We start from the raw sequence: 25,442 nt of genomic DNA, 5'->3' as shown, positions 1-25,442 counted from the left end.
CCACCGCCTGCTGTGAGTTGTCCTGCCCGGTGGTGTCTCGTGGGCTGTGCTGCAGGCAGTGGGGGGCTGCCTCCACCACTCACGGTGCAGCTGTGATTCAGGGCCAAGACATAACCTTGGGCTGAGTCCCCCACCGCTGTGCAGCCTCAGGCATCATCCCTCAGGCCCTGCGCTGCTGTGAGGACAGGTGGGAGTTCCGCCTCGGCAGTGCTATCCATCGGCTCTATCCACAGAATAGCTTTGTGCCACTGTCTGGATGTTTTACTAAATTTTGCCTTTTTTGGTGAAAAAAATGGTTCCCTGCTGTATTAGTCTGTTCTAACGCTGACATACCCGACTGAGACGGGATAGTTTATAAAGGAAAAAGGTCAAATGGACTCACAGCCCCACATGGCTGGGGAGGCCTCATAGTCATGGTGGAAGGCAAAGAAGGAGCAAAGGCACATCTTACATGGTGGCAGGCAGAGAGTGTGTGCAGGGAACTGCTCCTATAAAACCATCAGATCTCATGAGACTTATTCACTCTCGTGAGACCAGCATGGGAAAGACCCGCCCACATGATTCAGTTACCTCCCATCGGGTCCCTTCCACAATGTGGGAATTGTGGGAGCCACAGTTCAAGATGAGATTGGGTGAGGACACAGCCAAACCACATCACCTGCCCATCCAAGCACCACGTCCACAGTTCAAGATGAGATTTGAGTGGGGACACAGCCAAACCACATCACCTGCCTGTCTAAGCACCACGTCCATCTCATCAACCAGCACAGCAAGGCCCTCGTGGTGACAGCATAGGGAGGCAGATGCCAACAAGACATGTGGTTCGAGCTCTCTGTGTGTGTTACGGGAAGTCCAGAAGTGCCAGGGGAGTGGACACGTTGCTCATTGTGATTTTTATTTTCTCACTAAGCTTCTGAGTTTTGAGGGAAAAAATATTTGAGACTAAAACTAATGTTTATAGACAGATGTCATTAATGCTGGGTGGGATTTGGAGGAAATGCTGGAGAAGGAACTCTGCCAGAAGGAAGGAAGCCGTTCACTGGACTGATTAGTGCAGACGGACTCCGTGAGTTCACACAGCATTCTTCAGGAAAATAATGTGATGTTAGCTCAACTTGACCACATTTTGTTTGCTTCAAGATGTTTGCCACTAATAATGCTGTTCTCTGCAAATTAAATGAAAAAATGGTCATTTTGCTGGCAGTGTGAGAATGTTTAGTTTCATAGCTGGTTAACAAACAAAGGCAAAACACTTCCGGGTCAACAGTGGCCTCAGCCACATTTCCATCCATTCCCGTCCGAGCGACCCGCGGCCTCTGCAGCAGTGCTGGCCGGCAACACTGGAGGGCGCTAGACCAAGGGAGCCTGAGCGGTGCCCGCGCCCGGCTGGGTTTGTTGCCCCAGGAAAGCGTCTGTTTAGTGCCGCCCGCCGAGTGTGAAAGCGTTGAGCAACTCAGCAAAGCGACGACCTGGGCTGATGAGGCAGGATTGGGAGCGCGTGAAGGCAGTGCCCAGCAGGCACAGCCAGCGCTCGTGCCGCGCCATCCGCCAGCTGCCTGGCTTATCCACAACCAGGGAAGCAGCGGGGCATCCTCAAGCTGCCCTGTGTGGGGTGCTGTCTGTGAAACAGCAGCAGCAAACCCAGAAGCCGAGGTTAGACACTCAGCATGCGAGGAAAGCACGCAGAGGCGGAGGCCGCGGCGCTCAGAAACTGCCGTATTTAGAGATCACGCGGAGCCATAGGGTAAGTCTTTAGACTGGATTCTTGTTTCTACAAGTAGTGCAGACCCCCACCATGGTCCTTCAGAAGCAAATGCACAGCGTGGACATAAAACGATGAGACCAACTGTGAACTTCTCAGGGTGGCTTCACAGCCTGGGCTGTGCCTTACGATGCATTGTATTCAAAGGTGCCCAATGATGTGATTTGCACCTAATCCATTGACGGGTAATCAGCATTTTACTCCAGTAGGTACTAAATCAATATTTGACTATTTCTCTCCACCATCATGGCTCCCGATTCCTCGTGGCCCCAACTGTGGCAGACACCTGGAGATGGAGTGGCTGAGGGGCGTCCCCAGGCCTCTCCCCAGCTGCTGGGCCCAGCCTCCACCTTCAGGCGCTCCCCCACTCATAGCACAGCACCTTCTAGACCTGTTTCTGGTCTTTCAGAATTCCTATTTTGTTGGACTGAGGTCCTTTGTTTTGATTTTAATAAAAATGGGGTCACACTTAGCCTGACCAACATGGCAAAACCCCGTCTCTACTAAAAATACAAAAATTAGCCAGGCGTGGGTGGCACACACCTGGAATCCCAGCTACTTGAGAGGCTAAGATGGGAGAATCACTTGAACCTGGGAGGCAGAGGTTGCAGTGAGCCAAGATCACGCCACTGCACTCCAGCCTGGGCAACAGAGTAAGACTCTGTCTCAAAAAAAAAGGGGGGGTCACACTTGAGGTTGTTCCATGGACTGGCCCCTTTGTTTGGCGTGAGCTCTTGTAGCTCACTCACAGAAGTGAACCACGACTGCGTGTTCCGCTCTGAGAGGCACCGCGGCTTCCTCTCTTCCCGTCACAGACAGTGCAGCCATGAGCACCACTGCATCGTCCTTGGCGACGAGCCAGGCCCGGGGGTCCTCCTGGGCTGCATCTCCTGCCGGGCACCAGCTTCCTCCGCCCCTTCGGCACTCGCCAGCCAAGCTGCAAGGGGCACACTGAGGAGCAGACAGGCAGCGCTTCCATGTCGGCGCCATGCCCAGCACCCTGACGGAACACGTGACCGAGGACACAGGTGCAGGGGGAGGCAGGGGACTAAGACCCTGAGCAAGTCATGAGCAGGCAGCACCCTAAGACGCTGTCCCAGGACAGCCAGGAGGTGAGCAAGGCTGAGGGAGGGGAGCAGAAGGCCAGTCTCAGTGCTGGGGACTGTGTAGGACCCAGGCAGCCTGGGGTGAGGGGGTGCTAGGGAGGGGAGAGGAGAGGTTGGGAGGTCTGGAGGGGCAAGGGTGACTAGCGTTCCAATGATTCCCCTGATGAGTTCTGCCAGTCCCGACAGGACGGTGTTGGAGGTTCAAGGCTCAGAGCTGCCACAGAGGAGGGCGTCAGTGAGGAGATGGATTTGAGCATCGCCTGCCTGAGTGGTGGGACAGAGAGCCAGGATCTGTGGCCACAGGGGAGGCCGGGCCCCGGGACCCTGGGCAGGAGCTGCTGGCTGTGCTGGGGGGCAGTGATGGAGAAGAGGGCAGGAAACCCGAGGGAAGCTGAGTGACAGGGTTTGGCTGTGTCCCCACACAAATCTCACCTTGAATTGTACTCTCCATAGTACCCACGTATCAAGGGCGGGAGCAGGTGGAGGTGCCTGGATCATGGGGTGGCTCCCCCATGCTGTTCTTGCAATACTGCGTGAGTCTCATGAGATCTGATGGTTTCATCAACGTCTGGTACTTCCCCTGCTTGCACTCACTCCGTCCCGCCGCCCTGGGACCTGCTTCTCCTTTGCCTTCCACCATGACTAAGTTTCCTGAGGCCTCCTCAGCCATGCTCAACTGTGAGTCAATTAAACCTCTTTCTTGTATAAATTACCCAGTCTTGGGCAGTTCTTTATAGCAGCGTGGGAACGGACTAATACGCCGAGGAAGGGCGTGAGTGATTCCTCGGCCCAGCCAAGATGGGGAAGGGCGGCAGGTGAGAGGCTGAGGGGAGGGGCAGAGTCGGAGCCGAGTTGGGGGCAAGTCAGGGACAGGCACAGAAGGGGACAGTAGCCAGTGCCACTGGGCTAGGACCTCTGGGGGGGTCTCTCCTGCAGCTCAAGAGACTGGCGTGTGGAGAGCCATGGCCAGGCTTGGTTGAGAAAGTCACTCACTACAAAGCAGAAGCAGCCACATGTGGCTGGAGTGGCCAGCGCAGGGCCCCCGGTATGGGAGAGTGGGTATCCGGCCACATCCGAACCTCTGCCCCACATACAGCCTCCCACAGGGACCCTCCAGGAGGCCCCTGTGTGGGCGCCTCCCACCGGATACGCGGAGAAGCGCAAGGTTCCTCGTGCCCTGTGCTCAGGGCAGCCCATCAGTCTCACTGTGCTGCAGTCGCCTGATGCAGGTGCATGCTCCGAAGGCAGATGAGCCCACAGGAGCTCCTACAGCAGGCTGGGCGTCTGTCCGGAGCACTCTGGGTGTGCTTCCATTTCTAATAGGAGCGAGTTCATATTCAGGTCGCTCGGGCCGGCACGAAGCCCCAGGGGTAACAGATGCTCCCCACGGACGCTGGGGCCCCGCCCTCGGGATGGCCTTCCCTTTCCTCCCCCTGAACAGTTTTCACCACCACCACCCTTTCCAGCCTTCTTCACCTAAATCATCATCAAAGCATACTGGGTACTTCTTGGAAAGAGACCGGCCTTCCTGAGTGAGGGTCTCGCTCCGCATCGGATCAGGTGGCTTTCCCGAGGCCGAGTGCCCACTGCACACTGTGGCGGCCGGCTGGGCCTGGCCTTCCTTGGCAGCCACCTCGAGGAGTGCAACTGGCTGGCATCCGGCCGAAGTCATTCTTAGCTTTAAAATCTCCATGGATGAATAGTGTAAAGCAAAGTATTGGTTTACAATAGCTAGATGTGTTTATCGAAAGTGAAAGAATTTCCAGCTAGCACTATTTTCCCAACTGCAGCAAAGTCAACACCGGCAGGCTGCCGAGAGGGGGTGACAATTTGACCTTCGCGAAGTTGGCGCTGCCAGGACACAGCATCTGCAGTGGGGCTGCCCTGCCCTGGGCCTGGCGTTGGGAACCCAGGAGCAGGTGAGGTGTCCTAGGTTTGGAGGTGGGTGGTGCAGCAAACAGGCTGCCTGGAGGGAGTAGAGAGCCCTGGGCTTCCACCGCCAGCCGCGACAGACAGAATTTTATTGAAAGAACAATCCAGAAAGCCCCCAGAACTGACAGGAAGGCCAGGGAGAAGCCAGGCTCAGGAAGTGGGCAGGCTGGAAGGAGATGGGTCCGGCCACACCTGCGGACCTGTCACGGTGGTGTGCAGGTGCAGGACCTGCCCCTGCAGCCTGGGCTCCGCCTGGATGCTCGCGACCTCCGAGAGACACCCAAATCCCCGCACCCGGGCCTGAGTCGCCTCAGCGGTTCCCGCGCCTCCGCATGGACCTCCAGGCAGGTGTGCCCACCCACTGCAAGGCGGGAGGAGCCGCGTGCACCTCGCCAGCTCCCGGGTGGCACCCTGACACTGACCTGACCTGGACCCCCAAATCAAGGGGAGTTGGGGCCGGGCAGCCTGAAGGCGCAGAGCCCCCTCCCCAAGCACGAGCTTGGTTGCCAGGAAGCCTCTGCTGCGGCTCTGGAGAGGATGAAAATGCGTTCAAACCCAAGCAACTATAAACACGAAGAAAGGTTTTGAACACGTTTTGTTTTCAGACTAAGAGGAAATTCCTAAAATTCTTCGGTGGTAAAACCAAGACTGCACACCGAATTCACATTGGAGCGGGGCTAGGGAAGCATGGCTCCGGAAGGGCTCGGGAAGGGCTCGGGGATGGCTGGGGAAGGGCTCGGGGAGGGCTCGGGAGGGCTGCGGAAAGGCTCGGGAAGGGCTCGGGGAGGGCTCGGGAAGGGCTCGGGGAGGGCTCGGGAAGGGCTCGGGGATGGCTCGGGAAGGGATCGGGAAGGGCTCGGGAAGGCTCGGGAAGGGCTCGGGAAGGCTCGGGAAGGGCTCGGGGAGGGCTGGGGAAAGGCTCGGGAAGGGCTCGGGAAGGGCTGGGGAAAGGCTCGGGAAGGGCTCGGGGAGGGCTGGGGAAAGGCTCGGGAAGGGCTCTGGAAGGACTCGGGAATGGCTCGGGAAGGGCTCGGGAAGGGCTCGGGGAGGGCTGGGGAAGGGCTCGGGGATGGCTGGGGAAGGGCTCGGGGAGGGCTCGGGAGGGCTGCGGAAAGGCTCGGGAAGGGCTCGGGGAGGGCTCGGGAAAGGCTCGGGAAGGGCTCGGGAAGGGCTCGGGAACGGCTCGGGGAGGGCTCGGGGAGGGCTGCGGAAAGGCTCGGGAAGGGCTCGGGGAGGGCTGGGGAAGGGCTGGGGAAGGGCTCGGGGAGGGCTGGGGGAGGGCTCGGGGTGGGGGTGCTGGGGAAGGGCTCTGGGAAGGCTTGGGGAGGGCTCGGGAGTGGGTGTTGGGGAAGGGCTCTGGGAGGGCTCGGGGAGGGCTCGGGGAGGGCTGGGGGAGGGCTGGGGAAGGGCTCGGGGAGGGCTCGGGGAGGACTCGGGAAGGGCTCGGGGAAGGCTCGGTGAGGGTTCCGGAAGGGCTCGGGAAGGGTTCGGGGAGGGCTCGGGAAGGGTTCGGGGAGGGCTCGGGGAGGACTCGGGAAGGGCTCGGGGTGGGCTCGGGAAGGGCTGGGGAAGGGGTCGGGGAGGGCTGGGGGGTTGCTGGGGAAGGGCTCGGAGGCGGAGGGCACCAGGCACTGAGCCTCGCAGAGGCGGCCGATATCCTGAGAGCCTCCCTCGAGAGGCAGCTCGGCGGGCACCTCCTCCGCCAGACTCCGAACTCCAGATCTCACCACTGTCTTTGCACACCCTTCTCTGAAGCCCTGGAGAGGCCCCCATGTCCCCGCAGAGGGATGACCAGTATTGCAGACGCAGCGCACGGAAGAGCGCCCAGCCAGCTCTGGCACCCGCCCTGGCCAGAGTGCTGTGCCCGTTCGTACCGGGTCTGCTCAGGGCCCCCCTCCACCCACACCCCCATCAATAGAGCCTTTTGTGACTTTCAGCTGGGAAAGAATTCCACACTTAAAGAAAAGTTAACGATATTAGCGTTGATGCCAGAACCCGGCTGCCCTAACACGGATTCCCCCACTGTTGATGGCTTGTCTGTTTGCTTTGTTGTGCGGGCTGCACACACCCACAGTCATGTGCAGGACTCGGGTAGTTCCTGGGATTGGCCCTGCTCTTGGCCTGCCACAGACGCGTGGCCACCTTGGCCGTGATGCCAGGATGGGGCAGGTACCTACTGCAGAGACGGACGTTCCCACCCCGACTTTCTCCTGGCCTCAAGCGGCTGGGGCTGCTGGGCAGCGTCCTTCCTGGCCACGCCAGGCTGAGAGCAGTGCAGAGCCAGGACCCCAGGGGCCGGGACCTGCAGTTTCCACCCATGTAGGGAAGGGAGGCCATTGCCATTATCACCAGGGTCTCCACAGGCACCAGGGTGAGGATGACCAGAGCCATTGGAAATCAGACAAAGCCTGGAATCTTGGGGGAAGCAGAGGCCACCCCTGGCCTGCACTGTGGGGAGGGGCTCAGGGCTCAGATGCCTCTCAGGGCCACTGTTCCTCGGGCCAGGCTCATTCAGACACATGGCTGGGTCTGATCACAGTCTCAGGCGATGGGCATGGGGCAGGGGTCTGAGGCTGGGAACAGACAGCCCCTCTCCGAGTCTGGCAGGAGGGCAGCTCAGGAGCTGGCCTGGGCCAGTGGCTGCCCCCAGGCAGGGCCAGGTGATTCCGGAGGCAGCAACAGATGTTCTCCAAAGCTGCCTCTGAGACAGGACCAGGGCTGCAGGGTTCATCCCTCATTTTTCCAAATGTAGTAGACTTAAATCATCACCATATTTACTTGGAAAACTGCTTTCACAAGAGCCCATATGACCGCAGGAACAGAAAAACACCCATGGCAGTGAGGTTGCTTTGGCGGAACCCGCCAGGTGGCCCCACCAGGGCTCACAGCGCAGGAATTGCCTTAAATAGGGCAGCTCCAGCTCCAGCAGAGCAGAGGACACCCCAGCTCCGTTCCCAGTCATCCAGGCAGCAGAAAGCAACACAGGACCTGGCTCCGTCCTCACGGAACGTGTGGGCTGGGAAGGCCTCACATGCCTGGCAAGGGGCTGGGGCTCCCCAGGACCTTCAGAGCACCAGGCACCTACCCTGGCAGCTGGGGAGAGTAGGACTTACGGGACCTTCATCTGCTCCAGACCCTCAGAGCTGCGTTTTCCCCAAGGGAAGGGAAACATGGCTGCAGGAACTCAGGAGGGCTGGAAAGAATGTGGTTCTTGGACTTACGGACCTTCAGAAACCTCAGGAATCCACTCTCAGGAAATGTCTTTTCTGCCCTCATAGAAACACTGAGAAATGTGGCCTTAAGCCCGATGGAGCCCGGGGCTGCCTGCGATCAGGCACCGGAGGGCTCGGACCTGCAACTAGGGTGGGTTGGGGGGCTTGGCGCCAGAACACCAGGATGAGAGGGGCCGGGCTCAGCGCAGCTCAGCGCCTCCGGGGACCACGTGGTGGCTGGTTCAATTCACGTGAGGCTTGGAGAGCAGGGTTTAAGAGGGTCCCTCAAACCAAGCAAGAGAGCAGAGGGAGTACTGCGGAGCCAGGGCCAGCAGTCTGCGTTCAGAGCAGCCCTGCTCCCGGCCACCCCGTTCCGGCTGCCTCTCCCGCCCCCAGGTCCCTGCCCCCTGCTCTGCCGTTCCTGCCCGGCTGCAGCTCACCCCAGGCCCGTCCGGCATGGAAGGGGAGGCCCTGGGCTGGGGCGGGGGGTGTCCGTGAGTCAGCAAGTGACCAAGCAGGGGTTGCATCACCTCGATGACTCGCACGCCTCCCTGCAGAGGGTCCCGCGGCTGACTCAGGAAGGGGATGAGTGATGGGTGTGAGTCATCACTCGCGGAGCCAGTGGTCACTGGAGGCGTCCAAACACAGACTCTCAGTGTTGGAATTGGCAGGAGCTGTGGGGATGGACACACTCAGTCTGTGGCTGCAGTCGGGGAAACCAACGCCCTGCTCCCCATGCAGCCTGCACACCGCACCCAGGAAGCCTGCCTCTCCTGGACAAGGTCCTCCACAGCTCCCTTTGTCCTCAGTATGTGGACCCTTTGGGGTGTGGCCCAGCCCCTCCTGACCCCTTAGGGCACACCCCAGCCACAAAGCACCACACGCGGCCACCCAGGTCTCAGGCAGCCTGGGAAATGTGTCTGTGCATCACTGCTCTGTGCCAGTGGACACGTGTGTGCGCGTGCATGTTGGTGTGCAGATGTGTGTATGCATGCATATGTGTGCATGTAGGTGTGTACATGTATGTGTGCGTGTAGGTGTATGTAGGTGGTGTATGTAGGTGTGTGTATGTGTATGTGTATATATGTGTGCACGCATGTATATGGGGTGTGCATGTGGGTGTATATGTGTGCCTGTGGGTGCATGTAAGGGTGGGTGTGTGTATGTCAGTGTGCAGGGGTGGGGGGTGTGCATGTGTGTTGTGTGCGGGGGTGGGTGGGTACGCGTGTGTGGGTAGGTGTGCGGTGGTGGGTGTGTGTGTCAGTGTGTGGGTGTGGGTGTGTGGGTGTGTGTGTGTCAGTGTGCAGGGGTTGGGGGTGTGCATGTGTGTGTCAGTGTGCAGGGGTGGGTGGGTGGGTGTCTTGTGCAGATGTGTGTGTGTCAGTGTGTGGGGGTCGGTGTGTGTGTGTCTGCGGGGGTGGGTGTGTGGGTAGGTGTGTGTGTGTCAGTGTGGGGGTGGGTGGGTGTGTCAGTGTGCAGGGGTGTGTGTCGGTGGGGTGGGTGTGTGTCAGTGTGCAGAGGTGAGTGGGTGGGTGTGTGTCAGTGTGCGGGGGTGGGTTGTGTGTCGGTGTGCGGGGATGGGTGGGTGTGTGTTGGTGTGTGGGGTGGGTGTGTGGGTAGGTGTGTGTATCGGTGTGCGGGGGTGGGTGTGTGTCTGTGCGGGGGTGTGTGTCAGTGTGCAGGAGTGGGTGTCAGTGTGCAGGAGTGGGTGTGTGTCAGTGTGCGGGTGTCACTGTAGGTGTGTGTCGGTGTGGGGGGTGGATGTGTCAGTGTGTGGGGGTGGGTGTGTGTCAGTGTGCGGGGGGTGTGTTTGTGGAGGTGTGTGTGTCGGTGTGTGTGTGGGTGTGTCAGTGTGCGGGGGTGTATGTGGAGGTGTGTGTGTCGGTGTGTGTGTCGGTGTGTGTGTGGGTGTGCATGTGTAGATGTGCGTGTGTGCATGTGTGGGTGTAGGTGTGGAAGTGGGTTGGTGGGGGTTGGGTGGGGGTGGGTGTATATTTGTCTGTGTGTTGGTGTGTGGGGGTGGGTGTGTCTGTGTGTGTGTGTGTAAACTTCTGCCCAGTCCCTGCTGGGGGGCACTCTCAGACTCAGTATTTGGGGAGGCTGAGGGAGTTGAGGAGAGCAGCAGGACCCTGGACTTGGAGAACGGTTTGGAGGACGGTGGTCTTTGGTGGCTGCTCAGCTCCTTATGGCCCCAGGTGCAGGTGACTTGGTCCTGACTCCATGTTTCCTGCCAGCAGGGGAGTGTGGCCTGGTGGGTGGGGGCCCCCAGGGGAGGTAGGGCTTGCGGGAGTGTGGATACCCGGCTCCTTCGGGTGTGGCGGCACCAGTGTCCCTCCTGCCCGCTGTGCTGGTTGCTTCTCTTACTTTGCTCCCACACGGGATGTCTCCCTTTATTCTATTTTCACTTGCAGTGCTTCTGGTTTCTCCACTTTTACATCTTAGACTGAAACTTGGCAGAAAACGATGCACGATAGGATGTTTCTGAGCCAAGACCCCTTTGAGGACAGGCTGGCTGCTGATTCGAGAGCACGGCCCAGAGCATTCAAGGAGAACATCCTTGCTGTTGGGTTTGTTTTCTTTGCAGAGTGGAGCTGTGGAAGCCGACGGACACTCCTGGCTGGCTGCAGCCAGGCAGCGCAGAGGGAGGTGCGTGTTGGCAAACGTTTGTAACGCTCACTGAGCGGTGAGCAAGACGGGGCGTCGTGCTCGCCTTTTGTGAAAAGGAACAAAAGTGCTGCCGGATTCCTGGCCTGGGTGGAGCCCCATTCACATGACCCCCAGGGGCTGGGGTCACCCCCTGAGGTCCCTCCGTGGCTCCTCGCCTGCTCCGGTGGGGCTGGGGGAGGTGGCTTAGCTGAGGCTGCACCTCCGGGGGAGGAGCTGACAGGCGCCAGCACACACATGCAGGGGTGTGTGTGTGTGTGTGTGTGTGTGTGCACTCGCCAGCGCCTCCCCCCGGGGGGTGCAGCCTCAGCTAAGCACACACACACACACACCTACATGCACACATGTGCACCGACACACACACATGCACACACAGTTCTAGAATGACCACCCTCACCACCTCAAGACTGGCCATCGGAGGGGCCACACTCAGAGGCACGGCGGCTCGAGTGGCCAGCGCCAGCAGGCGGGAGCAGCAGGAGGGGAGCGGGTGCCGCCAGCCCTGCGGTGGCCGTGGGCCTGCCACCCATGAGGCCGAATTGCTCATGGAACTCATGGCCCCAGCTCCAGCCCTGTGGAACCAGCGGCCCTCCCACCCTCCACAGGGGCAGCTGAGCTTCCAAAGGCGAAGGCTGGAATCCAGTCCTTGGAACAATTTCCAGATGTTTTTGGCGTTAAAGTGCCTCCTGTGAAACTGGGGGTGCAGCCGGGCTGCCAGCCTGGGGTCTCCGGTCTACCCAGTGGGCACTTTTGTCATTTGGTCTGGCAACCATGCCACTCTGAAGAATGCTCTCTGCCCTCCAAGGAGAGCAGCCAGCCAGCGGGAGGCCTGTGCCGGGCAGTGGGCACGGGCCCTGACCCCAGCTTGGGGAGGGGCCTGGCATGGCAGGAACATCCTTACAGGCCCCAAAGCTTTAGCACAGTGGGAAGAGTGCACGGCACCTCTGAGCCTGCTCCCCAGGGGCACTAGGCCAACCAGGAGCCTGCCTGCCAGCACCCTCCGCAGCCCACCCTGCCTGGGTGGACAGACGGAGGCAGCCTGGGACCCCCTTGCCACGTGCCCCTCTGCAGTCCTGGTCACCCCATTGTTCAAGGGGTGCTAGGACCCTGAGCACTGCCCTGACCCTAGGCAGTAGGGAAGTGAGGGACACACACACGAGAACACACACGCCATCCACACACACACACACACACGAACGCACACGCCATGCACACACACAGAGCACCCACATGTGCACTTGCTCAAGTGTGCACAGACGCACGTGCATGGAAACCCCAGTACACGTGTACATCCCCACTCATGCACATGTACACACACACACACGAAACCCCAGCCCCACACACAACTACAGCACCAGGTGACACCTTTGCAGAAAAGGGATCGTGAAGCCTCAGACCCAAGTCAGGACTCAGAGCCCGGAAGCCTGTGTCTGCACCGGGCTCCCTCGCCTCCTGCCAGTGAGGCCCTGCCAGGCTGGGGAGGTGCCTGAGGGAGCGGCAGGAATGCAGAACCTGGGCACACCTGGGAGATGAGGCCTCCTACAGCCAGGCTCCCTGACCACGGTGTGGGCTGCAGCCTGCCATGGCCAGGTGCTGCCCATTTCAGGACCGAGGGTTCCTCAGTGACAGGCCCACAGGCTCCAGGCCACAAGGACCTCAGTTTCCCCACCTCCCTGGACCTGGGCTTGGGCCCCAGTTGCCCATCTAGGTGGCAGGGGCCCAGTGTCCCTAGGCTGTGACAACAGGGCTGCTCCCCAGAACTGCAGCACCAACCCTCCCCTCCCAAGGCCCCCAGCCCCTCACTCCCACTGGGCCGGGTGCCCACCCTCCACAGGGCCGGCAGGAACAACCACATTGGCCTGGTGAGCACTCGTTTGGGAAACTGGATATATTTGCAATTTTTAAAACGCTCAGAGCCAACATTCAAAATGGGGCTGTTTTTCCAGTGGAAAATGTAACATGAGCCCAGAACCACTCCCGCTCACACAGAGGCCCGCCCCCACCACCACCGCCACGCCTGGGCCAGGGCTTTACTCAGGGCCAAGCCTGGCCAGCTCCTGCGGCCCCGGCCCAGCACCCGCCACCCCCCCACACACCTGAAGCCTTCAGACCAGTGTGCAGGAGAGGCTGAGGGCAGCTGCCCAGGGCAGACAAGGGCGCAAGGGGCAGGCAGAAGGCCCTGAAGACCCCCCGCCATGGCTGGGTAGGCTCTGTCTCAGGGGTGTTCAATCAAATCAAGGGCCGCTTGGCCTCATACAGCCAGGCCCCTCTGCCCCCCAGGTGCCACAGAGAACCCGGCAACCACAGGGCAGACCCTTCCCCTCCACGGGGCCCCCATGGCCGACACACCCTGGACGAAGCCAGCAGGAGTGAGGTTGCCTCTGGGGTCTGTGGGCCCAGGTGCTACCCGACATGGTGGGACCCCGTTGCTCCCACACTCCTGGGGCAGCTGGGACAGCCGCTGTGACCTTCCCGCCTCAGAGGGGCTGTGCCCACCAGGCTGGGTAAACCTGTGACTGCTCATCCTCCTGGAAGGAGGACATCACCCTGCCACCAGCTTCAGCAACAAACACAGAAGACAACAGCTGTGACTGCAGCCTCTCCTGACACCCGGGAAGAGCTTCCCGAAGGCAGCGCGCCCAGTGCTTTGTGGATGTTTGTGGAGAAGATCAAATAAATGGTGGCCCTTTGAGACCTCAGCTGCGGTGCTGGGCAGAACATCAGAGAAGGCCCGGGTGCAGGGCTCACGCCTGGAATCCCAGCACTTTGGGAGGCCGAGGCGGGTGGATCACCTGAGGTCAGGAGTTTAAGACCATCCTGGCCAACATGGTGAAACCCCGTCTCTATTAAAAATACAAAAATTAGCCGGGCGTGGTGGTGCGTGCCCAGATACTCAGGAGGCTGAGGCAGAATTGCTTGAACCTGGGAGGCGGAGGTTGCAGTGAGCCAAGATCGTGCCACTGCACTCCAGCCTGGGGGACAGAGCAAGACTCTGTCTCAAGAAAAAAAAAAGGAATATCAGAGAAGCTTCCCTGAGGGTCGTGCCCCATAGCATCCGCCTGTCCAGCCCCCAGGCCTGCCCCATGCAGAAGCTGAGGCCCCTCCCTGACCCAGCAGGGCTACTGCCCTCATCTGAGCTGACACGCACCCTGGGAGCAGGTGGGGCTGCTGGGGCAGGTGGGCAGGCGGCCCCGGGGAGGGCGGGTCAAGCTGTCTGGTGGGGCCTGACCCCAGCCTGCCACCCTGGTTGCCATGGCCCTGACCTTGGGAAGTATTTACGATTCCGTGGCATGAAAGTTCCCAGCTCTCCATCTATTCCTGCCAGAGAAAAACCACTGCCCCCCAGCCTCGTGGGGTGTCAGGGACAGGAGGTCCCTCCGTACAGCCCCACCCTGGCAGCTCAGCCATCTTGACTCACCCTTGGCCGATGCCACAGGAGCCTCCTTTAAAGTAGGCAGTGCCTGTGGATGGGTTGTAGGACCAGCCCGGGGGTGGGCAGGGGCTTTCCTGGCACCTTCTCTGCAGATCCTCTTTATACTGAGTGTGTAGCACCCCTGGCCCTTCCTGCCATGTAGTGAAGGGGGGCATTGTCAGCCCTCCCACAGCCCAGGAGGGTCACCTGTTAGTCGGCGGCCACCAGGGTCTGCACCCTGCTCAGCTTGGCTCTGCCTTGGGGTGCCAGGGCAGAGGGTGGGCTGGGGCCTCGTCTGGGGTCACAGGAAGTAGGCCTGTCACGGGGACTCGGTGATCGTGGCAGAGCTGGGGCTGCAAGCTCAGGCCCCTTGCCGAGTGATGTCACAGAAGCTCCAGCCACACGGACTGAGTGGGGAGCATCGCAGGGGAGGGGGGTGGGCCGGGACTCCCAGCCCTGGGGTCTCCCAGCCAGAAGGCCACCCAGGCTGGCTGTGGTCCAAGGCCTGGGCTGTGGGGGGGTGGGGGTAGGCAGGAAGAGGCCTCAGGGACCCAGAGCAGCCAGGTGGGCCAGGGGTCACTGCTGAAACCAGGGGCGGGCGGGGCCTGGGGAGGGCTCTGCCGTGTGGTCCCTCAGGTGTGTAGCAGCAGCCACCCGCACCGCGGCCCGGGCCTCAGGGCTGCCTGCAGGAGGCTGGTCGGGGACAGCTGCCTCCAGGGCCACACACTCACAGCCAGGAGGTCAGGCCATTCCTCAGGGCTGCCTGCAGGAGGCTGGTCGGGGACAGCTGCCTCCAGGGCCACACACTCACAGCCAGGAGGTCAGGCCATTCGGGCCTGGGCAGACCCTCCCCCTCCCTCAGGCAGGGAGCTGGGGTCCCAGACCTTAGGGGCCCTACTCTCTCTGGCTCACAGGGCCTCAGGCCTTCAGTCCCTCCAGGCTGGGCGGCCGAGGCTGAGGCCCCACTGGAGGGGGCTCCACAGCAGCCCCTTTGCCCTCCCTGGGCAGGGACCCTCATCCCCGGGGACTCCGCTCTGGCCCACACGGCAGTCCTGGGAGTCGGACGGCCCCTGTCTGCCCGGCACCACTTCGGGAACATAGTGACAACCCCCAGCCCCCAACAGGCCCCACTGCCCCTCCCAGGGCCCTCCCTTTCAGGGTGGGCTGTATCCAGCTGTCCAGTAGGTCCAGCACAACTGAGGGCTGAGCCCAGGGCCTACGCAGGAGCGCGTGGCTGCCGACGGGAAAGTCAGGTGTGCCCCCCGGGGAGTCCAGGCTTCCGTGGGGACCTCTGTCTACAGAGGTCACAGCCAGGCCCCTGCAGCCGAGTTGGCTGGGAAGGAGCTGAGGCCGAGATAAGGATCTGGCCCAGCAGGGGGGGTGCAGGGACCACCTTTCCGCTGGGCACAGGGGAGGCTGAAATGCCTCCTGAGAAGGGCCTCCCAGCTGTCCCCGCTCAGCCCTGGGCCAGGAGACCCCTCGGGTAGCCTGTGGGGTGTGGGGCCCAGGGCAGCTGCCTGCCAGGGAGCACTGGGACCTGATCCCCAGCCCCCGAATTCCCTGGCCCCGGCCTCACCAGGGAAGGGGTGTGAAGGAAGGGGTGAGGAAGGGGGCAGACAGGGTCTCAATGCACACCCCACACACACGAGCACACACTGGTACCCCCATCGGGGCAGAGGGTGGGACTCTGAGGTGGCCGGGGACACTTCCCCGCAGAGCTGCCCGGTGGGGGCCCCTGGTTGCCCTTTTGCAGCGAGGATGGAGGGACAGGGGAGCTGTGCTGTGTGTGGCAGGCCCCTCCGCCACATCTGAGGGCCCTGGGGAATGGCAAGAAGAGCAGAGCCCTCCAGACCACCAGGCTGGGCACTGTGTTGACCCTGCCTTCCACTGCAGCCAGGAAAGGGCTGGGCCCAGAGGGGCGAGAGGGCAGAGGAATGTGGGCTGCCGAGTGGGGAGCTGGGTCTGTGCGGACCTGCACCTCAGACCCGCCTGCAGCCAGCACTGGGCGCACAAGCCGCGGCCACACGCACCCTGCAGGTCTAGGCCAGGCCAATCCCCCATGGGTGCCCCAGCACAGTTACCCAAAAGGTCAGCGCACGGCTGGGGCATGGTAGCGGAGGGGCGGGGAGGGTGGAGGAGGAGTGAGGGCCGGGGCAGGGAAAGGGAGGGCCGGGAGGGTGTGGGGTGGAGGGAGGGGTGCCAGAGCCTCCTGGGGTGGGAGGCTGGGTCACAGGCTGGGGGAGCAGCTGGGGATGGAGCTTCCCGACCCACACAGTTGGGACCCTCACCCAGGGCCACCCTCTCAGGGCCCTTAGTGGGCCCAGCACTGTCTCTTCCCCTGGGGGTCTCCCTGGGCCCACCCCACCCCAGGCCTTGCATGGCTTTCCAAATTCCAGAACCTTCCGTACTCCTGGCAGGATGGCCCCGGGGCTGTGCTCCAGGACCCACGTCCCGATGCCAGCCTGAGGCCGTGCCTGCTCCTCCGGACTAAGGCCCCCGCAGCTCCTCTGCAGGGCCGGGCCCTGGCGGCCGAGTGCTGCCCGGCGGGCGGGGGTGCTGCCTGGCGCGCCTCTCGTTTCCTCTTGGCCTGCAGGCCGGGCTGCCTTGGAACAAAGGCTGGATTGTGCCTCACTCTGGGGCCACTCGCTGTCCCGGCCCGATGCTCACTCCGCCTGGTTGCTGCCCCAGCAGGGCTCTGCAGACAACGTTTGTGCTTCCAGCCAAGCAAGGCTGCCCTGGCCAGGCCGACCCTCGTAAGTCCTGCCAGCCGGGATAGCACGGCAGCACCGACCACGGGCCAGGAGCCCGGCCACCAGTCCTGTGCTGCGTGGACCACGACTCCTTCCCGTGGTCTGGGGCAGCGGGCGGCCTCTCGCCTGTGCCCATGGGCACCTCCCTCTGTGTGGCCACTTAGTGCCATAACCCCTGGCTCAAGGGTGTCTGGCCCTGGCCCACCCTACCTGCTCCCCCACCCTGCCTGTACCCCCGCCCCTGTGTCTGGCAATGTCTGCCACTGCCCGTCTACCATGCCAGGCCAGGAATGAGTGGCTCTGCCGTCCCTCTGTGGCCAGGCCTCCCTGACCCCAGGTCCCTGGGGTGCCCATGTGCAGGGTTGGCTTTTGGAAGTCAAAGGGAGTCAGGTTTCTGCTCCCAGGAGGGGAGAGTGGCCAAGCCTCACCAACACTGCCCTGCACCACAGGCCTCAACAGCGTAAGTCCAGCAGCTCCTCCGACCAAGCTTTTTTTTCTTTTTTTTTTTGAGATGGAGTCTTCCTCTGTCGCCCAGGCTGGAGTAGAGTGGCGCGATCTCGGCTCACTGCAACGTCCACCTTCTGGGTTCAAGCGATTCTCTTACCTCAGCTTCCCGAGTAGCTGGAATTACAGGCGCATGCCACCATGCCCGGCTAATTTGTTGTATTTTTAGTAGAGACGGGGTTTCACCATGTTGGCCAGGATGGTCTCAATCTCCTGACCTTGTGATCCACCTGCCTCGGCCTCCCAAAGTGCTGGGATTACAGGTGTGAGCCACCGCACCTGGCCCCAACCAAGCATTTAATGAGCACCACTGTTTGCAAGCCCACCCAAGCCCTTGGAGGTGGACAGGCAATCCACGGGCAAGCACCATCCTCCATGGCAAGCACCATCCCGTCCCAGGTGGGCCTGGGCCCCCAGCAAGGCCTGGTCCCTGGCTGGCTGGACGCCCACACTCAGAACCCAGCTCTGAGGAGAGACGCGGGGTCAGGGGAACGGTGCTCCAAGGCCTTGGGCCAGGAGGTGCCGGTGAGGTAAGCCTGCCCCAAAACGACCTGGGGCACAAGGGATGGCCCCGAGCAGGCTCTAGCCATCTGTTCTTCCACCAGAGGAGCTGGGAGGTGCTGAGCTCTGGGCACGCAGCTCCCAGCTGGCCGGGCAGGGAGCACCGATTTCACAGCAGGCTCATCTGGGCAGAGCCTTTGGCAGGGAAGTCTGGGTCTGACACCCGTGTACAAGAGACACCCCCACCCCAACACCCCCGGGGCTGATTCAGGCCTCACCAGCCCCAGCAGAAGACTCCCTCTGTCCCGTCCCAGCCAGCCGGACCCAGCCGGGGCCCTGCCGGCCTCCAGCGTCTGCCGCCCCAGCCTCCACCCCCGCCGCCCGCTGTTGGACCTGGGCCGTCAAAGAGGCTTTGTGGCCGCCAAGTGGAGCCGGGTGCCGATTGTCTTGGAGGGGCTCCAGGAAGGAATGGAGTAAGAAGAGAGAGGAAAAAAAACGGAGGAAAAAGCTGTGAACAGAGAAGGAATTCGCCTCTGTGAAGGCCGGCGCCACCCTGACCGCCCCGCCCCTCCCCGAGCCTGGGCCTGGCCTGAGCTCTGCGGGCTCCGGGGCGACTTGGACTCACCTCCCATCTACTCAGTCGCCGGTGGCTCCTCCCTGTCACAGATGAGGACACCGAGGGCCAGAGGGGCCAGGTGGTTGCCTGGGGTCTGACAGTGCAGAGAGGCCGCCCGGCCCCAGAGGACTTGGTTCAGGTGCACGATGGGTGGGGAGCTGCTCAGGGCACTGACCAGGCCACACCAGACAATGAGGATGGAGGCTGGGGTCCTTGCTCCCTGCAGCCTGGGGTCAGGAGGGAATGGGGGTGGCCACCCTCGGGATGCTCCACCTCCCTGCCACACATCAGAGGGTCAGAGCCCAGGCCGGGCGCAGGCTGCATTGTGAGGGGACCACAGAAGGTGTCCGGCCCGATGCCCATTCCTCAAGGAGGCTCACAGATGGCAGGTGCCCAGGAGTCGGGCCGGAGAGGGGTCCAGCTGGTCTTGCCGCAACAAAGGCGGTCTACCCTCCACAGCTGCTGCTGCCTGAAGCCAGGCACCCCTGGGGTTCCAGGCACAAACCCACCCACCCTACCTGTTCCCCAGGGTGCTGAGGGTGAAGCATCCCAGCCAAGGAGAAGCCAGCGCCAGGGCTAACCCGGGTAGGCGGTCCCAAAACAGCTGCTGAGATGCAGCTGGGCACAGGTGGGTGGGGACTGGAGGACGAGGAGGCCACGGTCCCGATCCCTGCACCCCTCTCTCACCCTAGTCTAGGTGTGGGAGGAGCTACTTGCTGGAGACCCTGGACCCTTCCAGGAAAGTCAAGGTTAGGGTGGGCTCTGCTGAGTTCTCCCCAGCAAGCCTGTGGCCTCTTCGTCCCAGGGCCTCCTGGCTGCAGCCCACCTGGCCTGGCCCCACCATGGGGCCGCTGCTTTCTAGCAAAGACCTGCGCCTTAGGGAGAGGCTAGGACCCCAACTCTAGCCAGCGACCCTCATTCTTCTGTCCTCTGCAGCTCTACTCCCCACCAGGGGAGCCCCCGACACCGCGAGCCCCCAGACACCAGGAGACCCCAGAGGCAGACGGAGCATCCTGGAGTCCCCAGCCCCACATGGCATCAGGGCAGATTCCCACCGGTCCCCCATGCTCTGGGCTGCTCTCTGTCTCCAAAGGTCCTTCAGGGCTTGGGGTAGGTGGTCCTCCCTTCCCTGGACCACCGCCTACCCACTGTAACTCCAGGGGCTCCTGGAGGACCCGGGCACACAGCCCCGCCTCCACCGCTACCCCGGACTCAGGCCAGCCCTCGCCCAGCCAGCTGCTGGCAGCTGTCACCACCTGCCGGCTGGGCCAGATGCGGCTGCCACAGAGAGCAGGCGGGGCTGCAGCTGCCTCGGCTCCTCCTCCCACAGCCCTCACCTGGGGCCCCGGAGTGGGCATCTCGCCCCTAGCTGGTCCCAAAGTTCCCTCCCCCTCGCTCTCCCACCACATCTGAGGCCCGTGTACAAGGCACACGGCTGCGCCCAGCCCTGAGGCAGAGAGCATCTTCCCAGAGGACACACCCCAGGAGCCGCCTCGGCCCCCAGCAGCCACTGTGCCCCCAGCCTGGCCCGGCAACCAACCTACTGTGCTCCTTTACTGAGTGGAAGGTTTTCACAGGAGGCAGACGCTGAGAAGACGCTGGGGCCCAAGCAGGCTGGTGGGGTTGCCCCTCAGAACCACACCCTGCCCGTGCTCAGCCCACTGAGCGGGTACAGGGCAGGGGCATAGATGAAGGTCTTCCGACACCCAGGAAGGAGAGGCCGGGCCAGGGCAGGCGCCTCGGGGTGGACAGGCACTCCGGGCCCGCCTGTGTCTGTGGCTTTCACACGCTGACGGCCTCAGCCACAGAATCCATGTCGGCCTGCGTGCCCAGGAGGGCACATCCAGGGCTGCCCTGCGGCAGCCCCTGGCTCCGGGATCCTAGCAGCTGGGCCCTGGGCTCCCAGGACGGCCGTGCCCACTCTCTTGGCCCTGCCTTCCTCAGGGGTCTCAGGGCATCTGAGGTCTTTTCAGGGTCCCTGGGTCCCTCTGTGGAGAGTGGAGCTTCACCACCCCTTTTGTCGGCTGTGGCCCTGGCCAAATCACCAGAGGCCAGGACTGGTGGCCAGACCTCCTGTTAAAGAGAATAAAATGACACTCTGGCCACCCTCCGAGTCCCGGTCTTTCTGCTGGACACCAGGGAGTTCCTGCTGCAGTCGACACACCGGCACGGGGAGACAGGTGGGACCTGGCGTCCGTCACAGCATCCTGCAGGGCTGGATGTCCCTGGGCGCCCACTGGTCCCCATCTCTCAGGCTGCAGGAGCCCCCCAAGTGCCCCAGCCCCACTGTACTCAGGACTCATGCTCCCAGCAGGACCCCTGAATTCGGCCCCCAGGCAGAGGCCCTGCCGTGACCCAGGCTGAGGTTCAGGGTGAGGGGGCCAGAGAGGCCACCTTTTGACCCCAGGTTAAGCACTCTCTCCACCGTGTTGGGTGCTGCGTGCCAAGCCTGGCCACCCCAGCACTCTGCCATGGGGACAAGGAAGCCTCAGAACATGGCAGCTGCTCCAGGGGCCCCCAGCCCCACCCTGCGGCCACCAGCCCCCCTTCTCCCCAGTCACTGAATCAAACTGCCTGAGTGGGTGGCCCCTGCCCCTGCACAGACCCTCGAGCCCAGGAACCTGGGTCTGGGGGCCTTGGAGCCCAGGCAAGGATTGAAGAGAGCTGGGGTGCCCTGGGGGGCTTGAATTAGGAGGACCTCTCTCTGCCCTGGTTGGGCTCTAGCAGGTGGAGCTGGTGCTTGAGGACAGAGCTGCCCATGGGGTCAGGACTGCTGAGGAGCTGCATACAGTCAGGCAGTGACCAGGCGACTGGGGAAGGGGCTGACCAGGAGGAACAGCCCCAGTGGAGCCAGGGCACAGGTCACAAAGAGGCTGCCTGACCAGCCTGTGTGGCGCGAGGGTGGCTCTCTGGGTGGCACTGGGGGACTGGGGGACAGGGGAGCAGCAGGCTTTGCAGGTGACTAGTGTAGAACGGGCATGATCGGGACCCACAGAGTGGCACCCTCACCTCCCACGTGTGTCAAAGCCGGCCTGGGTCACGAGGCCAGAGGTGGGCCCAGCCCCTAGACCCACCTGGGCTCCTGCCCAAGGCTGCGGAAGGGAATGGGAAACCCTCCCATGGGGCCAAGGCCGCCTCTGCTTCAAGAGCCCACAGGGAGCCCCAGCCTTGGCCACACCCACTCAGGCCCAGCATGCAGCTGCCAGCACAGTGGCGGGAGCCTTCCGGGGAGACCCACCTGCATCCCCTCGCTGGCCACACTCCTCCCAAGGCAGAGGCAAGGGAGAGACAGGCCGAGCAGAGGAGGCCAACGGTGGCGAGTGCGGCCCCTGGGCAGAGCCGGTGTTTCTCAGGGACTGGCGTCTCTCCTCAGGCACTGCAATGCAAACCTAAAATTCATCGGCAACCCAGAGCCCTGGAACACAGGCCTGGGTCTTGTGTGGCTGAGGCCCAGGACCCGCCAGGCCCCACCAGCCCCCAGGAGAGCCCCTTCCCCAACCCAGGCAGCCACCTGGGCCGGGCACACTGTGAGGCCAGCACAGGGCACAGAGAGCCCGAGACCACCAGGCCCCGCCCACCGCGTCCCTGCCCCGCCTCACCCAGCGTGGCTCCACCCAGCACTCTTGTCCCCCGGGACATCTGGAAGCTTCTCCTACCAGAAGCTAGCTCCAGCCATGGGAGGGGGACTGTCCCAGCCCAGCCCGAGGGGCCCAGTGCCCCACACACTTGGCCCTGTGGCCTCCCTGCCTCTGCCTCCAGGAGGTGCTCCCATGTTCAAATCCTGGGGGACCCCTGGCAAACCCCAGCCCCACAGCAGGTCCGGGGCCCACACAGTGCCCCAGGGAGGCTTGGCTGGTCCCTGCGTCCTGGAGCCTTGTGTCCCAGGGCCGGATCTCTGCTGTGCGGGGAGTCCCATCGTGCACCCCGAGCACACAGCCTGGACCCCTCTTCCTGGCCTGCACCCCTCTTCCTGGCTTGGGCCCCATCTGTGCTCCTCGTCCCACGTTCCTGACCCGGTCCCCCAGCCCCCAGCCTCGGCCTGGGACAAGGCTGTGATCTCTGGCCAGGTCCTCTGACCCACGGGCCCATTGGGTGGGGCTGCCCACATCCCCTATCTCTGCCTCATGCTGCCACCCTGTCCCTGGCAGCAGACGCAGGCACCCCCGGGACAGCTGCAGGCGGCTTATGGGCACCCCTTTGAAGCCAGGAGGGCCGGGCGGGGGCGGGTCACACCCGGGGGTGTTGGAGCCTGGGCAGCACTTTCAAGTTAGCCGGGCTTTACAGGGAAGCAGCTTATCACCACCAGGACAGGGCCAGGGAGGACCATGGGCCTGGCCCCGTGCCCACACCCTGCCCCGCCATGCTGAGCCTCCCCCGGGCACCACCATCTCGTACCCAAAGGGCCTGGCCTGGGGGCCGCCCTGAGGACACAGCCAGGTCCCCTCCGTTGACTCCTGGGCTGCAACCCCCACCACTACAACCCACACCACCAGCAGCCCAGGACAGAGCCAGGGACGGGTGCCCAGCCCTGTTCCCGTCCCCACAGCACGAGCTGCCCCATGACCTTCCTGTGGTGGCCAAGGGCATGGGACCTGGTCTTGCCCACGTGAAGGGTGACAGTGGAAGAGCCAGGAAGCCCCAGGTGCAGCCCCTCCCTGGGGAGACGGCTGCCACTCTGGGCTCCTCCCTTCTCCCTGGGCCCCCTCGGTCGCCCTGCCCCTCAGATTCCATGCCCCAGCCCCACCCCTGCAAGGGCATTGCCCAGAAGCCCGCTGGCCCCCAAGGAGCCTCCCGACGCGTGTGTGTCGGTCTCTTCCTGGGCCTGGAGCCCCCATGGTGCAATGGTGTGCAGGTGACCCGGGCAGGACAGGTGAGACGGGGCCCACAGAGCGGCACCCCCACCTCCCACAAGCCCCACCCGGCCCTTCGAGCCTCCTGGCCAGTGAGCCTGGGGTGAAGGGCTCCCCATCTTTCAGGTGCTTGGCCGGAGCAGACCACTGTCAGAAGCGCAGTCCTGCCCTCTGTCCTGCTGGCCACACTCACGCCCTGGGCGCCTCTGCCCGCCTCCTGCCTCAAGTCCTCGAAGCACACGGGGCCTCTGTGCTCCCAGGCCTCCTGCACGTGGAGGGGAGGGGAACGCAATTTTGTTCTTGGGAGTGTGGACGTGCAGATGTGACGAGGGAGCCGGCGCAGGGCACAGACGCGTGCTGCCGTGACGGAGATGCGGGAAACGGCATCGGGATGGCCGTGTGGCTGGTGGGGGGACAGGAGCCACGGGGACAGGAGTCCACGGGGCAGGGCCAGGCAAGAGACAGCCAGGAACACAGGCCAGGCGTCCACAGGGCAGGGCCCCGGCAGGCTCAGGCTGGAGACCGCCGAACAGAGGGGCGTGGGGGCGGGAGCAAGGCTCTCGGGACTGGACGGCCAAGGGGGAAGGGTCTGGAAGTCGCAGGGGAGAAAGCAGGGGCTCCAGGCAGCCCCTGAGGAAGGCTAGGGAAGGACTGAGGGGTCTGAGCTCCAGGCTATTGGCCCGGGGGTGGCTGGGGCCCCATAGGCAGGAGATGGGTCTGTCCTGACTCCTTGGGGTCCCCCTGCCCAGCCTGGCATCCAACGTGGCCACAGCATGACAAAGTCCAGAGCCCAAGACCCAGAGGCTAGGCTGTGCCAGACCTGTCCGTTGAGGACCACACAGCACTAGTCAGCACCTCCTGTGGGCAGGCGCAAGATGGGCTGGACCACAAGTCAAGGGTGGCCCTGAGTGGGGGCCTGGACCTCACAGCAGGCAGGGTGCAGGCGTGGGGTCTGCGGTCCCAGTGTCTCCTTCAGAGGCTCTAGGGGACAGCCCTCTCGGACTGCCCATCCCTCCGCCCACTCCCTGGGGAGGGGCAGCCTGTCCTCTGCAACCCCATGACCCGCTGCCTGAGGCCTCCCTGCTGCCCAAGGTGGCCAGACGCCTGAGGTCTCCCTTCCACCCTCCCCTACTCCAGACTGAAACCCGACCAGGCGTCGGCCTGCAGCCTGTCCTGTCTGGGGAACATCTGTTTGGCTGCCAGCTGTGGGCCGCGTGGAGCCCCCACTGTCCCCCAGTCAGGGTGGCCAGGCCTCCCACAGCACCCATCAGCCACACGCAGCCCTTACCAGGGCCATGCCTGAAGCTGTCACCGTCCAAGGAGTCAGGACTTCCTCAGGGGAGAGAAGTAGGGTCTACCCTGGGGAGGACAGAGAACAAAAAGGGGACATCTTGAAAGCCATGGGGTCCCCAGAAGCTCCAGTTGGGGAGAGGTCCCTGACACCTCTCCCCAGAGCCCACCTGTCGTCTTTGAAGCCAGGCAGGGTGAGCTTCCTCCAGGGAAAAGCTCTCAGAACCAGAGCGGGTCAGGAAGCGCGCTGCACGCCAGCAGGACCAGGCTCCGGGGACGCAGTGGGCCTCACGCTTTGCTGAATGCACGAGGGGCCCCGGTGCCTTTTCTTACGAGGCTAACGGAACCCCCGGCAGGCAAGGGCCCCGGGTGGAGCTGGCAGCCCCACCCCTCCTGCTGACCGGGTAAGATGGGGTCGGCCACCGTCGCAGCACCGCAGGGTGGCTGGGAGGGCACTCGGACGGAGCCCTGAGGTCAGAGGTGACCTGAGCCTGGCCCCATCCCCAGCTCTGAGGCCAGTCTGCTGCCTCCTGTAGGGCCACCCACCAAAGCCTGAGGAGGGGCTGGGGAGTGGCCAGGCCCTGCACTGAGGGCCATAGGTGCCAGCCCCAGGACACAGAGAGGGCGCCGCTGGGACAGGGGTGCAGGACGCAGGCCTGGCCAGGCATGTGGGCAGTGCTCACGCCCAACACCACCGAAGCCCAGTATACCCAAACTCTCCCGCCGGGAGGTGCAGTTCTCAGCCCCTGTGGCTCTGGCCCAGCGAGGGGACTCCAAGAGGGTTAGGCTGCTGGTTCTGGAGACCAGGCCTGACACACAGGCACAAATGTGAGCACACACGAG

At 63.1% G+C, this 25,442-nt stretch overlaps 1 long non-coding RNA gene across 1 annotated transcript, besides 4 other annotated features; it reads right to left on the bottom strand.

The window, feature by feature from the left end:
• Positions 1 to 874: 874 nt before the first annotated feature.
• LOC105374343 (uncharacterized) lies at positions 875 to 16,170 on the bottom strand. The gene is made up of 2 exons (XR_001741546.1): positions 14,095 to 16,170; positions 875 to 1,166 (listed from the first exon to the last, which is right to left on the bottom strand). It is a non-coding gene; the product is annotated as an uncharacterized LOC105374343 (long non-coding RNA).
• Positions 10,281 to 10,462: a silencer, noted in NCBI's record as "fragment chr4:1035707-1035888 (GRCh37/hg19 assembly coordinates)". NCBI's record gives its function as "represses an EF-1alpha promoter that drives an FKBP-Casp9 reporter gene in an ReSE screen in K562 erythroleukemia cells {active_cell/tissue: K562}" and the evidence as "EXISTENCE:reporter gene assay evidence [ECO:0000049][PMID:32094911]".
• Positions 10,843 to 11,041: a silencer, noted in NCBI's record as "fragment chr4:1035128-1035326 (GRCh37/hg19 assembly coordinates)". NCBI's record gives its function as "represses an EF-1alpha promoter that drives an FKBP-Casp9 reporter gene in an ReSE screen in K562 erythroleukemia cells {active_cell/tissue: K562}" and the evidence as "EXISTENCE:reporter gene assay evidence [ECO:0000049][PMID:32094911]".
• Positions 12,571 to 13,504: an enhancer, noted in NCBI's record as "H3K27ac-H3K4me1 hESC enhancer chr4:1032665-1033598 (GRCh37/hg19 assembly coordinates)". NCBI's record gives its function as "activates a minimal SCP1, AML or CMV promoter by ChIP-STARR-seq in primed H9 embryonic stem cells {active_cell/tissue: H9 hESC(primed)}" and the evidence as "EXISTENCE:reporter gene assay evidence [ECO:0000049][PMID:30033119]".
• Positions 15,270 to 16,090: an enhancer, noted in NCBI's record as "H3K27ac-H3K4me1 hESC enhancer chr4:1030079-1030899 (GRCh37/hg19 assembly coordinates)". NCBI's record gives its function as "activates a minimal SCP1, AML or CMV promoter by ChIP-STARR-seq in primed H9 embryonic stem cells {active_cell/tissue: H9 hESC(primed)}" and the evidence as "EXISTENCE:reporter gene assay evidence [ECO:0000049][PMID:30033119]".

This window comes from Homo sapiens, chromosome 4 (genome assembly GCF_000001405.40).
Source record: "Homo sapiens chromosome 4, GRCh38.p14 Primary Assembly".
In the NCBI taxonomy this organism is placed as follows: domain Eukaryota; kingdom Metazoa; phylum Chordata; class Mammalia; order Primates; family Hominidae; genus Homo; species Homo sapiens.
This window is presented reverse-complemented; position numbering and strand designations above follow the sequence as displayed.